Genomic DNA, 19985 nt, shown 5'->3' on the forward strand with positions numbered 1-19985 from the left:
AAAGGGAACAAAAGTACAAGGAGTTGCTAAATGGGGTTCTGTATGTTTATTTCCCACGCTAAAAACCCTGTACAAATGTTGAACTCAAGTGATTTTTTGTATGTAAATGCAGTTGATATGGTTTGAAAGTTCCAGTAGTTTCCTGGAGGTAGTCTTAGTCTGTGTAAGATTTTATCCTTTGCATACCCCTGCACTTCTAGACTCTTAACCCTTGAATGTTGGCCTCACTCCTTATGAAGACTGTTCCCATGTGCTTCTGTTTAGCTCAACAGATTCAATAGGAAAGGGTTTACCAGCTGTTACAAGAGGGAGAGAGCTAAGCCTATTTTCTGTATAAATGTCTCAACTTCAAATTTCACTGTCTTCACGACAAATTTCAAAGTGTTTCTCTCACAGAATTCTGCAAAGTGAAATATCTTTATCATTTTACAAGGAATACTTTTAAAATGCAATTTGTTTTTTACCTCTAGGTTCTAGTTTTGCACCATCATCTACTATTTATGCAAATAATTCAGTTTCCAATTCAACGAATTTCAGTGGTTCACAACAGGTATAGTAGCTTTTTGTGTTTATGCTTTTTATATGTATTTCAGATTTTTGAAGAGTACTCTCAGGTTGCCATATATGTGCATACTCTCCCAGAATAAGGTTTCTTTATTTAAAAATTATGATAGCATTTCAGGATAGTAAAAAATTAGCTATCTAGAATTCTTGGAATATGCATTATTCTGGCTATTTTAGATTTTTTGATTGCTAAAGGTTTGTGCTTTAAACATTTATGCTGTAGTTGTTTTAATCATTTGGCATGGAATTACAAAATGTATTGGATATTTTGCTATCTTAAAATATACTAAGAACAATTTTATTTTTCTTGATAAAGCAGTTATTATAATGAATATTAATTGGTTGAATCAATATTAATTGATTAAAATAAGTCATAGGATTATACTACAGACTATATAACATTTTCAGTCCTAAAAAGTGTCCTTTGTTACTAAACAAAATGCCTCAAAGACTACTGTTGGCTTTTAAATAATTTTTCTGTTTTTTAGTTTTATGAATACTTTTAATAAATGTTTGATTCCCACTTTCCTGACAGCTGCAACTTTTTGCTTTTGTCACTGTGCCTGCCTCTGGTAGTCTTTAGTCCTCCTTCTAATTATGTTTTCTTAATATTTTTGTGAGTTTTAAAATCTAGCATGTTAGAATTATGCATGAAGCAAGAGTGAATGTCCCTGAATAAGTAAATCAGCTCGGAGTGAGATGAATTCGTGATATATGTTGACACTTCCAAATCTTTTGTCCTTATTTTTTGATTTTCAGCCATGTTCGAAGTAGTTGAGATTGAAGAGTTAGTGGCTGACTTCTGGTCTGGCAATACACTATTTTACTTTAGTATAGTTGCTAGACACTTATATATTCTAAAATGTAAGTTACTGTACAAGTGCTTACTTTTTAGATTTACTGAAGGAATTTTATCAATTGCTTTATTTTAGTTTTATTGATATCACAAAAGGCAGAAAGGAAATTTTGATCATTAAAATCGTGTGGAATAATAATATTTTTGATAGGATTAAACGGTGTAATTTAGCATTAGGAAAATGATGTCTTAAAACACTAAACATCAGAGCCAGTGTATACATTTTATTTTTTAAAATTGAGGTTTTTTTTGTAACTTGATTTTATGCATTTATTTATTGGTCCAGCAAGCATTTATTGAGCACTTGCTATATGTTAGATTTTTGGCTAGGGATTGAAGATTCAAAACGAGTAACTCATTGTTCCCTGCTCTTTAGAAGGATTCAGTCCTCCGAAAGAAACAAATATGAAAATAAGATGGACAGAGGGTGGGATGGGATATAGTGAATATAATAACAGAAATATACACTAGGCAGAGTTGTACTATAAAGGAAAAACTGCTCTGCCTCTATTTGGGAGGATTAAGAAAAGATTTGTAAAGGAAAAGAGCATTTATTTGAAAAGAGTTAATCATAGAACAGATCTGATTCTCTGTGAAGATTTAAATATAGTGGATCCCAATGTAAAATGTAATCTGTATTTGGGACCATGGCCTGAGCACCAGTTTGTTGTTTTGGCTCATACCTATTGAGTGCCCATAAAGTGTTAGGAATTGGTCTGTATACTGGGGCACACGAAGGTGGGGCTGGAGTAGATCAGATCTGATTCCTGCCTCATAGAGCTTACAGCCTACTGGGACAAACATACAATAAACCAGTAAACACACAAATAAATGCAGAATTAGAAAGAGAACAGGGCCTGCGAAAACATCAACTGAATATAATTTTGAATAGGGGAGGTTTTATATAAGGCTTCTCTATGGAAACCACATTTAGGCCAAGACTTCTAAGAGTTAGGTGAAGAAGGAGGGCAGTGGTGTTTCAGGCAAAGAAAGCAGAGTGTACCAAATCCCCAATGGATGGAAAACTTGGTGTGTCACTGAACTTAAAAAAAAAAAAAAGGCTGGAGTTCAGTTAGTGCATGAGGGGGAAGTGGGGAAGCACATTTGCAGAGATAGGCGGGGGCCTGCTCACGTAAGGCCTGGTGGTTTACAATAAGGAATTTGGATTCTATTCCAAGCCCAGTGGGAGGCTATGATAGCATTTTGAGCAAGAAAATTACATCATTTAATTTATGTTTTGAGACGATAACTCTGCCACCAAGGTCTTTGGAGAAAGTCAGAAATGGAAACGAGGAGATAAATTTAAAAATGAATACATTGCCTGCAACAGGAAGAAAAGGTAGTTTGGACAAGGGGGCGACAGTGGAAATGAAAAGAAAGTGAGATCTTTGAGATATGTTTGAATATGAAAAGACATTATATTCCCCAGTGGGGAATAGCCTGGACCTTTCCAGTATGTAACCTCATCCTCTTCTGCAGGAATTAGTAGGCTAACAGAGAGCTTCAGCACAGATGTTTGACTTAGGCACTCTGGGTTTAAATTCTAGCTCTGAAACTTACTAGCTGTGTGACTTTGTGCAAATCACTTAACCACTCTGTGCCTTAGTCCCCTTCAAAGTAAAATGAATATAGTATTAAGACCACATAAGAGAGTATAAGGATTAAATGAGTAAATATATCTGAGCCCTTAGAACAGTGCTTTGATACAGAGTAAGCACTATGTAAACATTTGCTACCACTGTTTTACTCTGAGAGATATTGGTAGGAACTTTGTTTAAATATGATGAGGTTTTTGTTCTTGGCTCACAAGTTACAGTAGTGGGAAACATTGGATCTTGAAATTTTCAGACTAATAGAATTTTAGTTTTCTGCCATATTACTTAATCATTTATGAAGATATACATATTTACTTATAAAGATTATTTCTTTTATTTTTTGGAAACCACATCAAATGTAGATCTTTTTTCCTTTGGAACACATTTCATCAGGGGATCTTAATGTTATCAGTGATGACCAAGGATTTGTCATCACTGATAACATTTTGGGCTGACACATGCTAGATATCTTAAACACCAATTATCACAACAAATCCTTACTCATCATCCTACTGTGTAAAAGGATTTTGAATCATTTTAAGGTTCTTAAAATTTTTAAATAAAAAGCAGGTCAGGGGTGTTGATTCAGTGCTTTCATTTTTCTCTGTAACAAAGGAGGGAAACTAAATCATTGAAAAGTTCACTAAAGACTTTAAATCAAGGCCTCAGGTGGCATGTAGTTTGTGAGAGGCTGGGTAAAAAAAAAATAATAATATTCATCTTCTTTTATTTACTTTTTACCTCCTGCCAAGAAAACAGAATTATCAGTGGTAGCCCAGAAAGGAACAAAAATCACAAAAATGCAGACTGAGGTCTCTGTGGAGTCTAGGAGGGGCAGCCCCAACTCCTTGCTGGTGATGTTAGAAGATGTGTAAGAACGGATTTTGTGAATATGAGCTGATTCCATCTCCTTCTTTCCTCTTCAAACACGTAGGTCCTGATGATGTAAATCCTTGAATAAGTAACTATCAGGAGCAAAGTGAAGCATATGCTAACTTTAATCACATTAAAATTTGTGTACTGGACCTGGTTTGCCAAAACAATAGGGTATTTCACTACTATATGTTTGTAAGAAATGCCCACAAAGTAGTCTCTGCTCATTAGGATCACCTCAAAGCTGTGGACTCAGAAACAAATGGGGCTGAGTACTAATCTTTCAGTTACCATAATGACTGGTTTTCTTGGGAGAGTATTAAAGAGTAATTTCTCTTTCAAACACACACATCTCAATTATTGTTTCAGGATTATCCATCCTATACAGCCTTTGGCCAAAACCAGTATGCACAGTATTATTCAGCATCAACGTATGGAGCGTATATGACATCGAATAACACAGCCGATGGCACACCCTCTTCAACCTCTACTTATCAGTTGCAGGAATCTCTCCCAGGACTGACTAACCAACCAGGTACAGATCTTCACCCAGGTGAAATACTTTTATATGTTTTGCAATATCTAATAAAACGGAGAAAGTGGACATTCCAAAAACATGGCGGAAAGCTCCCAGATAATTGTGCTGATGTTTAATCTGTGTTAGCATGACTGTGTAAGACGAGGCTCTTCTGGCATTTCAGAAGATCCTTCTTTTAGATATGGGACAGATAGGCGATTTTAATCTCTAAATGATGGTGTACATATGAATATGGAGCTTTTGCCAGACTCATTATTCATTTGTGAAGAACTTGCAACAAAGTTGTAATATTATCTTCCTTATGACTGATATTATTTCTTTTGTGCTAAAGAGACTGCATAAGCCCTTCACCTTTGTAAGTTGTCAGTAGCTCTAGCCCGTGAACATTTCCTACATTCCTGGGATTTGTAGAATCAGTGATAGGTAGTTTAATATCTTTGTGTGATCAGTGTGTATTTAAAATCCATTGTGTGTTTCATTATCTGAAACTTGCAGTATTTGAATTGCATTTGCGACACGTAATTTGACACAGCTGAAGTATTTAAAGTTAAAAGCAAATGTAACAGAGACTCAGTATAATCCTAAGAAAAGTTCCAGGACTTTTTGGAGAAATTATTGAGGTGATTCTAAAATCACAAGGAAAGGTGGATGAATTAGAATAGTCAAAACTATTTTTAAAAATAAGAACGAAGTTTGAAGACTCAGATTACCTGATTTAAAGACTTATAATGTACAGTAATCAAGAGAGTGCAAAAGGATAGACACATAGAGCAATGAAACACAATGGAGAGTCCAGAAACAGATGCATATATATGCTAGAAAATGGATTTTTGAATCAGGATACAAAGGCAATTGAGTAGAGAATGAATAGTTTTTTTCAACAAATGGTGCTAGAACAATTGGACATCTATATGCAAAAGAGGAAAGGATCTCAACTTATATGCAAAAATTAACTCCAAATGGATTGTAAGCCTACATCTAAAAAGCTAAAACTATAAAACTTCTAGAAGAAAAAAATGGTGGAAATCTTTGTGACCCTGGGCTACATAAAGATTTTATAGATATGACATTAAAAACACAATTCATACAAGAAAAGAACAGATAAAATTAGATTTCAAAAAATTGTAAAGAACTTTTGCTCTTCAAAAGACACTATTAGAGAAGTGTCTGTTCATGTCCTTCGCCCACTTTTTGATGGGGTTGTTTGTTTTCTTCTTGTAAATTTGTTTGAGTTCATTGTAGATTCTGGATATTAGCCCTTTGTCAGATGAGTAGGTTGCAAAAATTTTCTCCCATGTTGTAGGTTGCCTGTTCACTCTGATGGTAGTTTCTTTTGCTGTGCAGAAGCTCTTTAGTTTAATTAGATCCCATTTGTCAATGTTGGCTTTTGTTGCCATTGCTTTTGGTGTTTTGGACATGAAGTCCTTGCCCACGCCTATGTCCTGAATGGTAATGCCTAGGTTTTCTTCTAGGGTTTTTATGGTTTTAGGTCTAACGTTTAAATCTTTAATCCATCTTGAATTGATTTTTGTATAAGGTGTAAGGAAGGGATCCAGTTTCAGCTTTCTACATATGGCTAGCCAGTTTTCCCAGCACCATTTATTAAATAGGGAATCCTTTCCCCATTGCTTGTTTTTCTCAGGTTTGTCAAAGATCAGATAGTTGTAGATAGGCGGCATTATTTCTGAGGGCTCTGTTCTGTTCCATTGATCTATATCTCTGTTTTGGTACCAGTACCATGCTGTTTTGGTTACTGTAGCCTTGTAGTATAGTTTGAAGTCAGGTAGCGTGATGCCTCCAGCTTTGTTCTTTTGGCTTAGGAGTGACTTGGCAATGCGGGCTCTTTTTTGGTTCCATATGAACTTTAAAGTAGTTTTTTCCAATTCTGTGAAGAAAGTCATTGGTAGCTTGATGGGGATGGCATTGAATCTATAAATTACCTTGGGCAGTATGGCCATTTTCACGATATTGATTCTTCCTACCCATGAGCATGGAATGTTCTTCCATTTGTTTGTGTCCTCTTTTATTTCATTGAGCAGTGGTTTGTAGTTCTCCTTGAAGAGGTCCTTCACATCCCTTGTAAGTTGGATTCCTAGGTATTTTATTCTCTTTGAAGCAATTGTGAATGGGAGTTCACCCATGATTTGGCTCTCTGTCTGTCTGTTGTTGGTGTATAAGAATGCTTGTGATTTTTGTACATTGATTTTGTATCCTGAGACTTTGCTGAAGTTGCTTATCAGCTTAAGGAGATTTTGGGCTGAGACGATGGGGTTCTCTAGATAAACAATCATGTCGTCTGCAAACAGGGACAATTTGACTTCCTCTTTTCCTAATTGAATACCCTTTATTTCCTTCTCCTGCCTGATTGCCCTGGCCAGAACTTCCAACACTATGTTGAATAGGAGCGGTGAGAGAGGGCATCCCTGTCTTGTGCCAGTTTTCAAAGGGAATGCTTCCAGTTTTTGCCCATTCAGTATGATATTGGCTATGGGTTTGTCATAGATAGCTCTTATTATTTTGAGATACGTCCCATCAATACCTAATTTATTGAGAGTTTTTAGCATGAAGGGTTGTTGAATTTTGTCAAAGGCTTTTTCTGCATCTATTGAGATAATCATGTGGTTTTTGTCTTTGGCTCTGTTTATATGCTGGATTACATTTATTGATTTGCGTATATTGAACCAGCCTTGCATCCCAGGGATGAAGCCCACTTGATCATGGTGGATAAGCTTTTTGATGTGCTGCTGGATTCGGTTTGCCAGTATTTTATTGAGGATTTTTGCATCAATGTTCATCAAGGATATTGGTCTACAATTCTCTTTTTTGGTTGTGTCTCTGCCCGGCTTTGGTATCAGAATGATGCTGGCCTCATAAAATGAGTTAGGGAGGATTCCCTCTTTTTCTATTGATTGGAATAGTTTCAGAAGGAATGGTACCAGTTCCTCCTTGTACCTCTGGTAGAATTCGGCTGTGAATCCATCTGGTCCTGGACTCTTTTTGGTTGGTAAACTATTGATTATTGCCACAATTTCAGAGCCTGTTATTGGTCTATTCAGAGATTCAACTTCTTCCTGGTTTAGTCTTGGGAGAGTGTATGTGTCGAGGAATGTATCCATTTCTTCTAGATTTTCTAGTTTATTTGCGTAGAGGTGTTTGTAGTATTCTCTGATGGTAGTTTGTATTTCTGTGGGATCGGTGGTGATATCCCCTTTATCATTTTTTATTGTGTCTATTTGATTCTTCTCTCTTTTTTTCTTTATTAGTCTTGCTAGCGGTCTATCAATTTTGTTGATCCTTTCAAAAAACCAGCTCCTGGATTCATTGATTTTTTTGAAGGGTTTTTTGTGTCTCTATTTCCTTCAGTTCTGCTCTGATTTTAGTTATTTCTTGCCTTCTGCTAGCTTTTGAATGTGTTTGCTCTTGCTTTTCTAGTTCTTTTAATTGTGATGTTAGGGTGTCAATTTTGGATCTTTCCTGCTTTCTCTTGTAGGCATTTAGTGCTATAAATTTCCCTCTACACACTGCTTTGAATGCGTCCCAGAGATTCTGGTATGTGGTGTCTTTGTTCTCGTTGGTTTCGAAGAACATCTTTATTTCTGCCTTCATTTCGTTATGTACCCAGTAGTCATTCAGGAGCAGGTTGTTCAGTTTCCATGTAGTTGAGTGGCTTTGAGTGAGATTCTTAATCCTGAGTTCTAGTTTGATTGCACTGTGGTCTGAGAGATAGTCTGTTATAATTTCTGTTCTTTTACATTTGCTGAGGAGAGCTTTACTTCCAAGTATGTGGTCAATTTTGGAATAGGTGTGGTGTGGTGCTGAAAAAAATGTATATTCTGTTGATTTGGGGTGGAGAGTTCTGTAGATGTCTATTAGGTCTGCTTGGTGCAGAGCTGAGTTCAATTCCTGGGTATCCTTGTTGACTTTCTGTCTCGTTGATCTGTCTAATGTTGACAGTGGGGTGTTAAAGTCTCCCATTATTAATGTGTGGGAGTCTAAGTCTCTTTGTAGGTCACTGAGGACTTGCTTTATGAATCTGGGTGCTCCTGTATTGGGTGCATAAATATTTAGGATAGTTAGCTCCTCTTGTTGAATTGATCCCTTTACCATTATGTAATGGCCTTCTTTGTCTCTTTTGATCTTTGTTGGTTTAAAGTCTGTTTTATCAGAGACTAGGATTGCAACCCCTGCCTTTTTTTGTTTTCCATTGGCTTGGTAGATCTTCCTCCATCCTTTTAAAAAGACAAGCTATAGACTTGGAGAAAATATTTATAATACACATACTGATACAGGAATTATATAAATATATAAAGAACTGTCAAAATTCACTAAGAAAAATTAGGTTAAGAAATTTTTAAAATATCATTAATTTGTTCAAGTATATTTTTCTGCCTTCAGTTATTTGCAAGATCCAAATTCATCTCTACTTCTTTCTTATTCAGCTTTGGATGGGAGGGAAAATAGGGAAACATGGTCACAGTACTGTAAACTCTTTCTAACTGGACCAGTGGGGCCAAGATGACTCAATGCCATTAAACGATTATTTATTGAGTATATATTAGGCATCAGCACTGTGCTAGAAACTGATATTTCAGCAGTAAATGAGCTCTTTGCCCACCTTTGGCTTTCATTTGACAAGCAGGACAAATATCAAGCAAGTAATTACAATAGTGAGAAAGGGAAAATGGTAGGTCATATGGGGGATATTAACAAGTAAACTAATTTGGACATAAAGTAAAAATGAAACTGATATTTTAAGCAACAGCCAAGATATGTTTATATCATGAATTGATGAAATGATAACATTCATGATTTTTAGTTCCCTGTTCAGAATATAATCTTTACCTGTGGGTCCAAGAAATAATTATCTAGTAGATAGAGCTTGTCTTTGATGCCCCTACATTTTAGTTTTTTCCCCTTATCTTCCTTTTATATCCTCCTACCTGTGGGCACACAGCCCCTTTGAATTTCTGGTCCTTGTCCCTTTGGGGCTCTCTGTTTTGGCTTTTCAGCTAGCCTTAGCCTCCCTGGGTATCTGTACCCCTTGCAGGGCCAGGATTAGGGTGAGGTCAGTGAAGCACCTAGAGCACAAAATTTAAGGTGGAACTCGTTCTTGGGGTCCTTAAATTTTGTGCCCTAGGCGCCTTACTCATTAGCCCCAGCCCAAATCACATGTTCCAAATCTGTCATGATCCTCTTTGGGTCAATACTTGTGTTGCATCAAGGATCTTACTTTCATTCAAAGAATGAATGATTTCAGAATCCTTGCTTAACAAGCAGTGGAGATACTTCAGGGAAGGAGATATTTCACGACCTCTTATCACCCTGTGGAAGGTTTTTCTCAATGATGAATGTGTGAGGAAAACAAGGTAGGGTGAAACCACAGAAGTATTTAATTATCAAGATATCAGAGACTGAATGATGGACAAGACCAAAAGGGTGTTTTTTTAATTTGCTAGACTACAGCTACCAAGAATGAAACCCATTTGTGTACTCAGATACGGTATATGCTACGTGGAGCTTTGTGTAAAATGTTGCTTTTGCTCCAATTTCCATATAATCACGAGAAAGCTTCTCTGCAGGAAAAACACAGATGGTTACTTTCCTTATTAGAATAATCAGTATTGAAAATAGCTATTTTATTCCTATTAAATATATTAAATGCAGGCAGGTAGATATTCTGAGTATGTGACTTTGGATGTGACACATTCACATATGGAATTCTGACATTCACTATCAGAATGCTGCAATTTCATCAGGCCTTCATTGGTTGCTGAGGTCAAGAAATATAGTTTGACATCATTTTCAGATTTTATTAGACTGTCTGTTGAATTTAAAGAAGGAATTAATTCTACTTATAACTATATTATTCTCTCAACCAAAATCGTAACAACACACATGTCTGGATCTTTAAAGAATTCTATGACCTCAGACCTTCAGTCAATGCAGTTTTAGGTTTAATTTTGCCTTTTCAGATCTGGCATACGGCCAAAAAGCAAACAAGTTTATAACTATGGAATTTTTCTTTATTATTGATGGAATCTGATGTATTTAGTTCAAGGGCAAGAAAAGTATTTCCCATTGACTGGTTCTGCATTTTGGACTTAAAGTAGAAACCTAAAATTAAACCCACAGTTTTTCATAGAACAGTCACTGCTGAATTCTACTTTTATAATGAAAACATACCTTATGTTCAATAAGAGACAGCTGGTTTTTCTGATTTAGAGATAAGCCTAATGAAATAAAGTGGGATCTAAATATCCAAAACTTAAAAGGTGCAGTTATTCATTACTGTACTGATTAAAGGATAATTATTCAATCATGTATAGTATTGGGTCAAGAAAAGCCTAGGGCAATTTTGTAATGACTGATGTTACTTGGAAATTGCAAATAGCATTCCATTATTTAATTTACCTTATTAGGTAGTTTGACAGTGGATTTAAAGAAACACTACCATGCTGATTAAGAGCAGACATTTTACTTCATTCTCTTTCTAAAGGTCTTTCTTTAAAGTAAAATTTATATTGGGTATATCAGATTTTTTATTTGTATTAAGAAAGTTTGAGGACAGATTTGCACATGAAGATGAGAAATATTTTTATAGCGCCTCCTTTTCAAATATTTTAAACATCTTTAAAATCAAATACAGTTAGTCTTGTATAACAATATTATGTTTTACCCTGACACTTTGACAAACATTACAATACATTAGCTAACTGAACCTAACAGGTGCTCTAGAAAAGTAAAGGATAGAGTAAGATCATTTCACTCTCTGAAAAGAAGCCAGTTTCTTAGGCAGAACACAGCAGCCTTTTGATAACTTCATGGTATTTCACGTAAGGAAAGGAAGGGAAGTAAAGTGCTAACTCATCTAATGGAAACTAACAAGAGGATTTAGATAGAAAGGACCACATTCAACTGCTCTGCCAATTTACATTTTCCCTACCTGTGGCATTGCTATGCCCTTGTGCAATTACCTGAGTGAAATTTGGCAGAGGCACTGGAATTAACAGCTTTCTTCTTTTAAAAAAAAGTGTCAACAAATGTTTAATGACTGGTTGAGCTCAAGTTCCTGGTTTTACCCTTTATCAGAAGAAAGGATAGCACCTGCAAAAGGAATAGAGGTCAGTACAATTCCACCTGGGTGATTGCTCTAGGAGCCCAGATGTATCGCATGGCCTCTGCAGGGCATGCTCTTTTGCTTCTGTGAAGTTCTTTCAGTGAATTCTTTGGCCCTCCATCTCACAGAAATTATATAATGCCCATGTGACTTTTATTTTAATTTATTGTTTAACTGACAAATAAAAAAGTATATATATTGGTGCAGTGATGGGCACCCGTAATCTCAGCTACTCTGGAGGCTGAGGCGAGAAGATTGCTTGAGTCCAGGAGTCTGAGTCTTTAAAAAGAAATTGTATCTATTTTTGTGTATAACCCATTGTTTTGAAATACATTTATATTGTGAAATGGCTAAATTGAGCTGATTAACATATGCATTACCTCACATGCTTATCATTTTGTGGTGAGAACCCCGAAAATCTATTCTCTTAGCAATTTTTAGAAATACAATACATTGTTACTACGTATAGTAACATGTTGTATAATAGATATCTTGAACTTACTCCTCTTGTCTAGCTGAAGTGTTATATCCTTTGACCAACAGCTCCCCAGTCTCCCTCTCCAGCCCCACAGCCCTTGGCAACCACCATCTTACTCACTTCTTCTACGAGTTCAACTTTTTTGCACTCCACATATAAATGAGGTCATGTAGTATTTGTCTTTCTGTGCTTAGCTTATTTCACTTAACATAATGTTCTCTAAGTTCATCCTTGTTGTCTCAAATGACAGGATTTTCTTTTTTAAGGCCAAACATTATTCCATAATGTACATATACCACATTTCCTTTGTCCGTTTATCCATTGATGAACACTTAGGTTGACTCCATATCTTGGCTATTTGTGAATAATGCTGCAATGAACATGGAAGTGCAGATATCTCTTCAACATACTGATTTCATTTCCTTTGATATATACCCAGCGGTGTGATTGCTGGATCATATGGTAGTTCCGTTTTTAGGAACTTCCATAGCATTTTCTATAATGGCTGATATGGTTTGGTGGTGTCCCCATCCAAAATCTCATCTTGAATTGTAATCCCCCTAATGCCCATGTGTCAAGGGAGAGACCAGGTGGAGGTAATTGAATCAGGGGGGCAGTTTCCTCCATGCTGTTCTCGTGATAGTGAGTGAGTTCTCATGAAATCTGACAGTTTTATACATGTTTGGTAGTTCCTTCTGCTTTCCTTCTCCTTCCTGCCACCTTGTGAAGAAGGTGCCTTGCTTCCCCTTCCCCTTCTGCCATGATTGTAAGTTTCCTGAGGCTTCCTCAGCCATGCTCAACTGAGTCAGCTAAACCTCTTTCCTTTGTAAATTACCCAGTCTCGAGTAGTTCTTTATAGCGATGTGAAAATGGACTAAATGGCTGTGCTAATTTACACCCCCACCAGCAGTGTGCAAGATTTCTGTCCGCCACAGTGTCTCCTACACTTGTTATTTTTCTTCTTTTAGATAATACCATTTTAACAGGTGTGAGGTGGTATCTCATTGTAGTTTTAATTTGCATTTCTTTGATAATGAGTCATGTTGAGCATTTTTCATACACCTGTTGTCATTTTTATGTCTTCTTTTGAGTGATGATCATGCCAACCCATTGCCCATTTTTTATTTGAGTTATTTGTTTTTTACTATTGAGTTGTTTAAGTTCCTTGTGTATTTTGGATATTAACCCTTTATCAGATGTATGGTTTGCAAATATTTTCTCTCACTCTAGTAGGTTGTTATATGACTCTTTTATAAGTAGAAGCAGATCTAGGTTTGACCTTCTGGTAACCTGAAGAGTCCATTGCTATTTGCCTGAGAAAGTATAGCCAAATGGTTAAAGGAGGAGTTCTGCAGTCATACCAGTGTTGCATCATACAAGCTATTTAATTTTGTTAAATTAATTGCCACTTCTCCAGTTTCTCCATTATTAAAAGACAATAATGAAGGACCTAATTCACCGGGTTGGAGTGAGGTTTAAGTCAGACACACACACACACACACACGCATATATATATATACACACATAAATATATATAATGTTTCATAATAAAGAGCTTTGACAAATCAATAAGAAAAAGACAAACAGCCTAGTTTTCTTAATGGGCAAAAGATTTAACAGTTACTTCATTAAAAAGAAGATATCAAATGAGCAAGAAACATGAAAAAGTATTCTTCATAATTACTCATCAAGAAAATTATAATTAAAACCACAGTGAGATACCATCAATCACACACCCAAAATGGTGAAAATAAAAAAACGCTAACAATATCAAGTATTGACAAGGATGTGGAACAACTGAAACTCTCATTGTGGTAAGAGTAAATTAATACTGTCTTTAAATTAATAAAAATGAGCAGTGGGTTAGCATGGTCGTTAATACACTGGAAAGAGAGTAATACACTGGAAAAAAGTCAGTGTCTGTTAAAGATGAACATATGCCTTCCCTCTGACCCAGGAATCACATTGCCAGGTATGCATACCCAAGAAGAATTAAGAGCTTGTATCCACAAAGACATGTACAAGAATGTATATAGCAGCTTTATTCATAGTAGCCTAAAATTGTGAATAACCCAAATGTCCATCAACAGAATGGATACAGTGTAATAGATACAGTGTAATATATATATACATGAAGAAGTTCTAGCCACATTAAGGAAAGGACAACTGCTATCCCAGGCTAGAATATGGATTATCTCACAGCAGTGAATGAAGCCAAACACATATATTTCAATAAAAAAAATTTTTAAAGAACAGTGCATGACATGTACTAAGGGGTGAATAAATGTAGAGTTACCCTTCATAGTTTTCTAAAAAGGCTGTCTTTATCCCCATCAAAACACTTCTGCAGATATTTTGTCCAAATTCTTAGAGCCCTTTTAAGATCCTTCAGTAATTTGAAAAGCATCAATGGGAATAAAGTCTTAGGTTTACTGAAACCCAGATACGTCCTACAACCACAGTCTTTTCTCTTTCCTCTTCTGCTCTTTTCACCCCTTTGCTGTGACAGCTGCTGGATCCCAGTTCATTTGAATAGCAGAATTATTCCTGCTAAACTCCTCCTTTATGGACTCAGCCTACAACCACCCATGACTGGGGTTCCTCAAGTTTTTGTCCTTTCAGCTCTTGCACTGTGACAAGAACAAAGTTGCCTTATGATAGTTAACACCTGAAAATTGATCTATAATGACTATAAGGAGAAGTTTTATGGAACGTCATCCAAAATGTTTTTTAAATGCATGCTTAATAAGTGAGGGTTAATTTTAATCACCATTTTATTTGAAAGCAGACATTTGGTTTGTGGGATATAGTAACCTTAGGAAAATTCTGTTTCAAAAATAATTAAAAATGGAACTTTTATGTGATTTTATTTAAAAGTTGGTGTATGTTCAGACATCTAAAGACTAATTTAATGCCTATACAAATAAGGTGAAACATGATTTACTATGAGACAAGGCTATATTCAACCCCATAACTTAAAAACCTTATTACTCTGCTATCTACTCTCACCGAGGTGATAACATAGACCCATGAAATGAACTATGCTGGCAATATTTTAAGTGCAAATAATATTTGGAGCACAGGCATATTTTTTTGATCATGTGCTGACATGCACAGTGTTTCCCAAAGAAAATGTTAGAGGTTACCCATGTAAAAATTACTATTTCTCAGAAAAAGTGATGCCTAGTTTGTTCAGATTTGTTTATTTAGATTAATAACTGCTTGGTTTTCCTCAGAATTGTTTTATTTTAATTTTTAAATTTAATGATAAAAAATAATAGCCATAATATCTTTTTGTTTAAAAATCATGTAATTTAAATTTAATGTAGTTTACCTTCTGTCTTGGAAATTGTCACTTTATACATATAATTTAAATCAAATTAAATATAAATCAGATTTATCCCTCAGTATTCCAGAAAGCTGCCATGAAACTGAGATTTAGAGAGATTGAATAAAATGCTTGTACTCATATAGTAATTCTGACTCTTCAACTTGTTATACTGTATCTCACAGTTGCCTCAGTTTATCTTAACAGTTGCTCCTACAGATTTGCTACTACTCAGTACTCTCTACCTCCTAAGATACTTTCTCACAAGCTTTAATCATTTCAGAGTTTTAGATATCTATGGGACGTACAGAAGTCAATTGGATTCTGAAACTGAATTAAAGTCTGAAACTTAGGATGTGGCCTAGTTGGAGGTATAGGTTTATATGTGAGTCATCACAGAGAGGGTCATTAACACATGAGAGAGTTAAATCCCCCAGATTGTGTGGAGTGAAGACAGTGATCAGAGGATGGAATTCTGACATACTAGCTCATAAGGAATGGGAGAAGTACAGGAGTCCATGTTTTCTAGATGGAGATGGACTGATCGGAGTGATTCTAGAACTAGGAGAGTGCAAGGTATCAGCTGTCAAATAATAGTTTCGAGGAGGTGCTGTTTAAGAGAATCACACACAGCACAGAGATCCTGGAAGACAAGGACTGAGTCTGTCTATTGCATTTGTCAACAAGGTGATTTCTGGGGACTATTAGCAGGAGTATTTTTATCGCATTTTGGGGAACTGAAGCTAGATTATGATAAATTGGATATCAATAAGTGGGGACAGATATGCCGTCCAGTGCTGCAGCCACTGGCCACACGTGACTCTTGAGCACTTGTCATGTTGCTAGTGTGGACTGAGATCCAGTATAAGCATAGAACACTGCACAACATTTCAAAGACTTAGTATGAAAAAGAAAATGTAAAACATATCATTGATAATTTTATATTGATTACATACGGATATAACATGAATATATTGAGTCAATTAACACATTGATTACATACTGATATGATAACATGGATATATTGGGGCAATTAACATAGAAGTGATGATAATTTTACATATCTCTTTTTACTTTTTTTAACATAGCTGATAAAAAACTTTAAAATATTATATAAGATCACATTTGTGGCTCACATGGTATTTCTGTCATATAGCACTAGTATGCACTATTCTAAGAAGTTTTATGTAAAAGAGAAAATGGAAGCAAATAGTATCTAGATGGAAATTCCAGGTCAGAGGGAAGGACTTTTTAACTTCTCAGTGACCCCAAGAAATGGGAGAGGTGGAAGGGAAAATGGGAGAGGTGGAAGGGAAGATGGGAGAGGTGGAAGGGAAGATGGGAGAGGTGGAAGGGAAGATGAGAGAGGTGGAAGGGAAGATGAGAGAGGGTTTGACTAATGAAGCATGACTTCCTAGGAGGTGGGGCTGGGAGTCAGGTTTGCAGGTGGAGGGATGGAATTGATCCAGAAGAAGACATCTCATTCTCTGAACTGTGACAAAAAAGGAGGTGAGGACATATCTAAATGGAGATAAATATGTAAGTGAAGGTATAGACAGGAAGTTGAAGGCGTATGGTGTAGAAAAGACATTCAAGTTTAATAGATCACATAGATTACAACTAGTAGGAGTTTGTGTAAACTACAAAAGTTCTGACTGACTTGTGTGTGCTTGGGATTATAAATCTCTTTTTTGCCATCAGGAGGTTTCTATTGTATAGGAATTTGTTAAGATAATTAATAATGAAGACTCATACTTGATCTAAAAATGAAGTGCTATTCTTGACCTAAGTCATGTTATCTATAGGAGAGTTCGATACCATGCAGAGTCCCTCCACACCCATCAAAGATCTTGATGAGAGAACCTGTAGGAGTTCTGGGTCAAAGTCCAGAGGAAGAGGCCGGAAAAATAATCCCTCCCCGCCTCCTGATAGTGACCTGGAGGTATGCCTACTCATTCTTAAAGATTGTAGTGTGATGCTTTATTTTACCGAATGATACATTCTCTATCTTACAGTTCCATTATGTTTCAAATTTAAAAATCAAGATATATCATGAATTGAATGGAACTACTTTGTGATAGGCATTTTACAACTCTGAAGTTTGAGATTCCATCCATTATAATATTAAAATTAAGAACAAATAACAGTATAAAAATGATCTTGATTTACAGATTATTGGCCTGAGATAATTGCAAGTTTTGATCTAAATTGGCACCGACAAATTTTAAAACTATAGCCATTGTTTGTGGGATACTTTTCTATGTAGCACTGTATTCGATAGCACTAAAGTAATGGAAGATGTCCAAATGGGTCATTAAGTTTAAAAAGATGAAAGTAATTTGTATAGAAAGAAAAATTCATCTTCTAAAAATAGGACAAGTTTCAATCACTTAATAGTATGTGTTAAAATCTGAAAATTTCATTATATGTCACTTTCTATTTATGAGTTCTTTTGAGATATATCTGTACTAAGCAGGGTTGATTTTTATATACAACATCAGTAGAAACTATTCTTAACCATAATATGTTACTTCTTACATACCACATACTTCGGTTAAGAAAAAAATTGAACTTCCAGATTTAGTAAAATCAAGTGACAGACGTTGTGATTCTTTATAAGAGATAACTTCCTTTTCTTGAACAACAGCAACAAGTTCACATTGCCTCAAGAACTTGACAGATGATATAAATGAGTGACCGGGCTGAGTTGCCCAGCAGACTGTGAGGAGCTCAGAGTGCAGGCCCATTCTGAGGGACCTGCCTGTCACTGCCATGTAGGAATGGCAGCCAGCCTGGCCACAACTTCTAGTTGCTGTGCTACAGTCAAAACCCTGAAGTTTGTGGGCAATTGCCTAGTTCTCAAATGTTAATTCATAATTTGAAATCCTTCAAAACTCCAGGGAGGCCAACATATCTGCTGGCCTAATGTGACCCCAGGATCTATACTTGACAATTCTGTTTAGCGGTTACTCATTGATTCTTTTAAATATTTCTTTAAAATCTAATTCTTTGCAGAAATTGTAAAAGTTTATGAATCCCTAAGGTATAAAACTTTAAAATATGTAGAGTTTCAAGCATGCTTCTATCATAAAGTCTGAATGTATCTCTTTTTGGTGTTAACTACGAGTAAATGTATGGATTAATTTATTCAAGCGAGGACATCTGACTCTTAAGCTTATAATTTGTATAATTCCTGCTCCTCAGGCTTTATAGGAGTTAGATTTGGCAAATTTGAAAAACAAAAAAATGAATAGTATTATTTTCTATTAAATGATATCAAGATGATCTCTAGGAAGGGAGACATTTTCTGCTTGTAAAGAGATTTCTGTTTCCTTGGACTTTTTAATTTTCTGATATTTATTTTTTGTCTTCAGCGTGTGTTTGTCTGGGATTTGGATGAAACCATCATTGTTTTTCACTCACTGCTCACCGGGTCTTATGCACAGAAGTATGGCAAGGTAAGAAATCAAGAAATGTTACTCCAAGAAATCTTGTTAAATTTTTTGTGTTTGTTTAAAATCAAGGGCTATTTAAAAATTCTTTTAAGTGTTTTTTTATTGCAGTCTGTGAAATCTTCTCTTAATTATCTATTTCTAGTGTCTTATAGTTCTTTAATATGAACTGGCAAATTTAACAAAGCTAATTATAAATTGAATTCCTTGCTATTTCTTCAAAAGGACTGAGTTTTCTACATCAAGACCAAGCTTCTTAGTCTCACATAATTATTTTAGAAAAAAAATTGTAAATCGAAATGGACTTCAAAACATTATAAAATCATATATTATCCCCAATAAAAGAGCTTTAAGAAATTGTTTAAATTAATTTGTTGCAATTTTATAGCAATAGCGAGTAATCTTTCGTCTGACAGATCTTTTGGATTTATGAATGAGTGTTTTTTCTGTGACTTGAGTACACATATGAACAGCAACCGAGGTAACACCCCCTCCCATACACAAAGTCAGCAATAGATGGTCTCATGCCTCACCTGCCTTTCTCTCTTGCTATTGTTTTTATTTTCTCTTTTATTTATTTATTTCATTGTTATTATTATTATTATTATTATTATTATTATTATTATTATTTTGAGACAAAGTCTCACTCTGTCCCCCAGGCTAGAGTGCAGTGACATGATCTTGGCTCACTGCAACCTCTGCTTCCCGTGCTCAAATGATCCACCTGCCTCAGCCTCTCGAGTAGCTGGGATCACAGGTGCCCGCCACCATGCCTGGCTAATTTTTGTATTTTTAGTAGAGACGGGGTTTCACCATGTTGGCCAGGCTGGTCTCGAACTCCTGACCTCAAGTGATCTGCCTGCCCCTCGGCCTCCAAAGTGCTGGGATTACAGGCGTGAGCCACCACACCCAGCAGTTATTTTTATAGTTAGCTTCTTATAACATCATTATTACAAACCTCTGTGAGTGCTTCTCCGAAGACTGATGCAACTCTGAAAGGCTTTTTGGCTAGAAACACAGCTGTTTAGGCAATAACTGTTTAAGTCTTAGACTCTGTAGGGCTCATAATCAAACTAAAGCCAACTCAGAACATGTTGGCTTACTGTCAGTTACTATACTCAAAGTTGTATCTTTGGTTCCTTTACATATCACGCTTACAGAAATGTCTTCCTATGTCTTCATAG

At 35.8% G+C, this 19985-nt stretch overlaps 1 protein-coding gene across 30 annotated transcripts in view, besides 1 other annotated feature; it reads left to right on the top strand.

Annotated features, from left to right (window-relative positions):
• EYA4 (EYA transcriptional coactivator and phosphatase 4) overlaps nt 1-19985 on the top strand; it is a 291536-nt gene that overhangs the window by 223716 nt on the left and 47835 nt on the right. For 15 of the 30 annotated variants that reach the window (XR_001743219.3, XR_007059221.1, XM_017010368.3 and 12 more), the window contains 4 exons: nt 471-550; nt 4258-4441; nt 17155-17291; nt 18724-18807. Coding sequence is in view for 27 of the 30 variants with exons in the window: in XM_017010368.3 (XP_016865857.1) it covers nt 471-550; nt 4258-4441; nt 17155-17291; nt 18724-18807 (485 nt within the window). In the remaining 3 variants the exon portion in view is untranslated. The remainder of the gene's footprint in view (nt 1-470; nt 551-4257; nt 4442-17154; nt 17292-18723; nt 18808-19985) is intronic. The other 15 variants (XR_001743220.3, XM_047418282.1, XM_047418276.1 and 12 more) reach the window with 1 other exon arrangement.
• Nucleotides 17133-17306: a silencer, noted in NCBI's record as "fragment chr6:133802579-133802752 (GRCh37/hg19 assembly coordinates)". NCBI's record gives its function as "represses an EF-1alpha promoter that drives an FKBP-Casp9 reporter gene in an ReSE screen in phorbol 12-myristate 13-acetate-treated (for megakaryocytic differentiation) K562 erythroleukemia cells {active_cell/tissue: K562(+PMA)}" and the evidence as "EXISTENCE:reporter gene assay evidence [ECO:0000049][PMID:32094911]".

Source organism: Homo sapiens, chromosome 6, assembly GCF_000001405.40.
Source record: "Homo sapiens chromosome 6, GRCh38.p14 Primary Assembly".
Taxonomy (NCBI): Eukaryota; Metazoa; Chordata; class Mammalia; order Primates; family Hominidae; genus Homo; species Homo sapiens.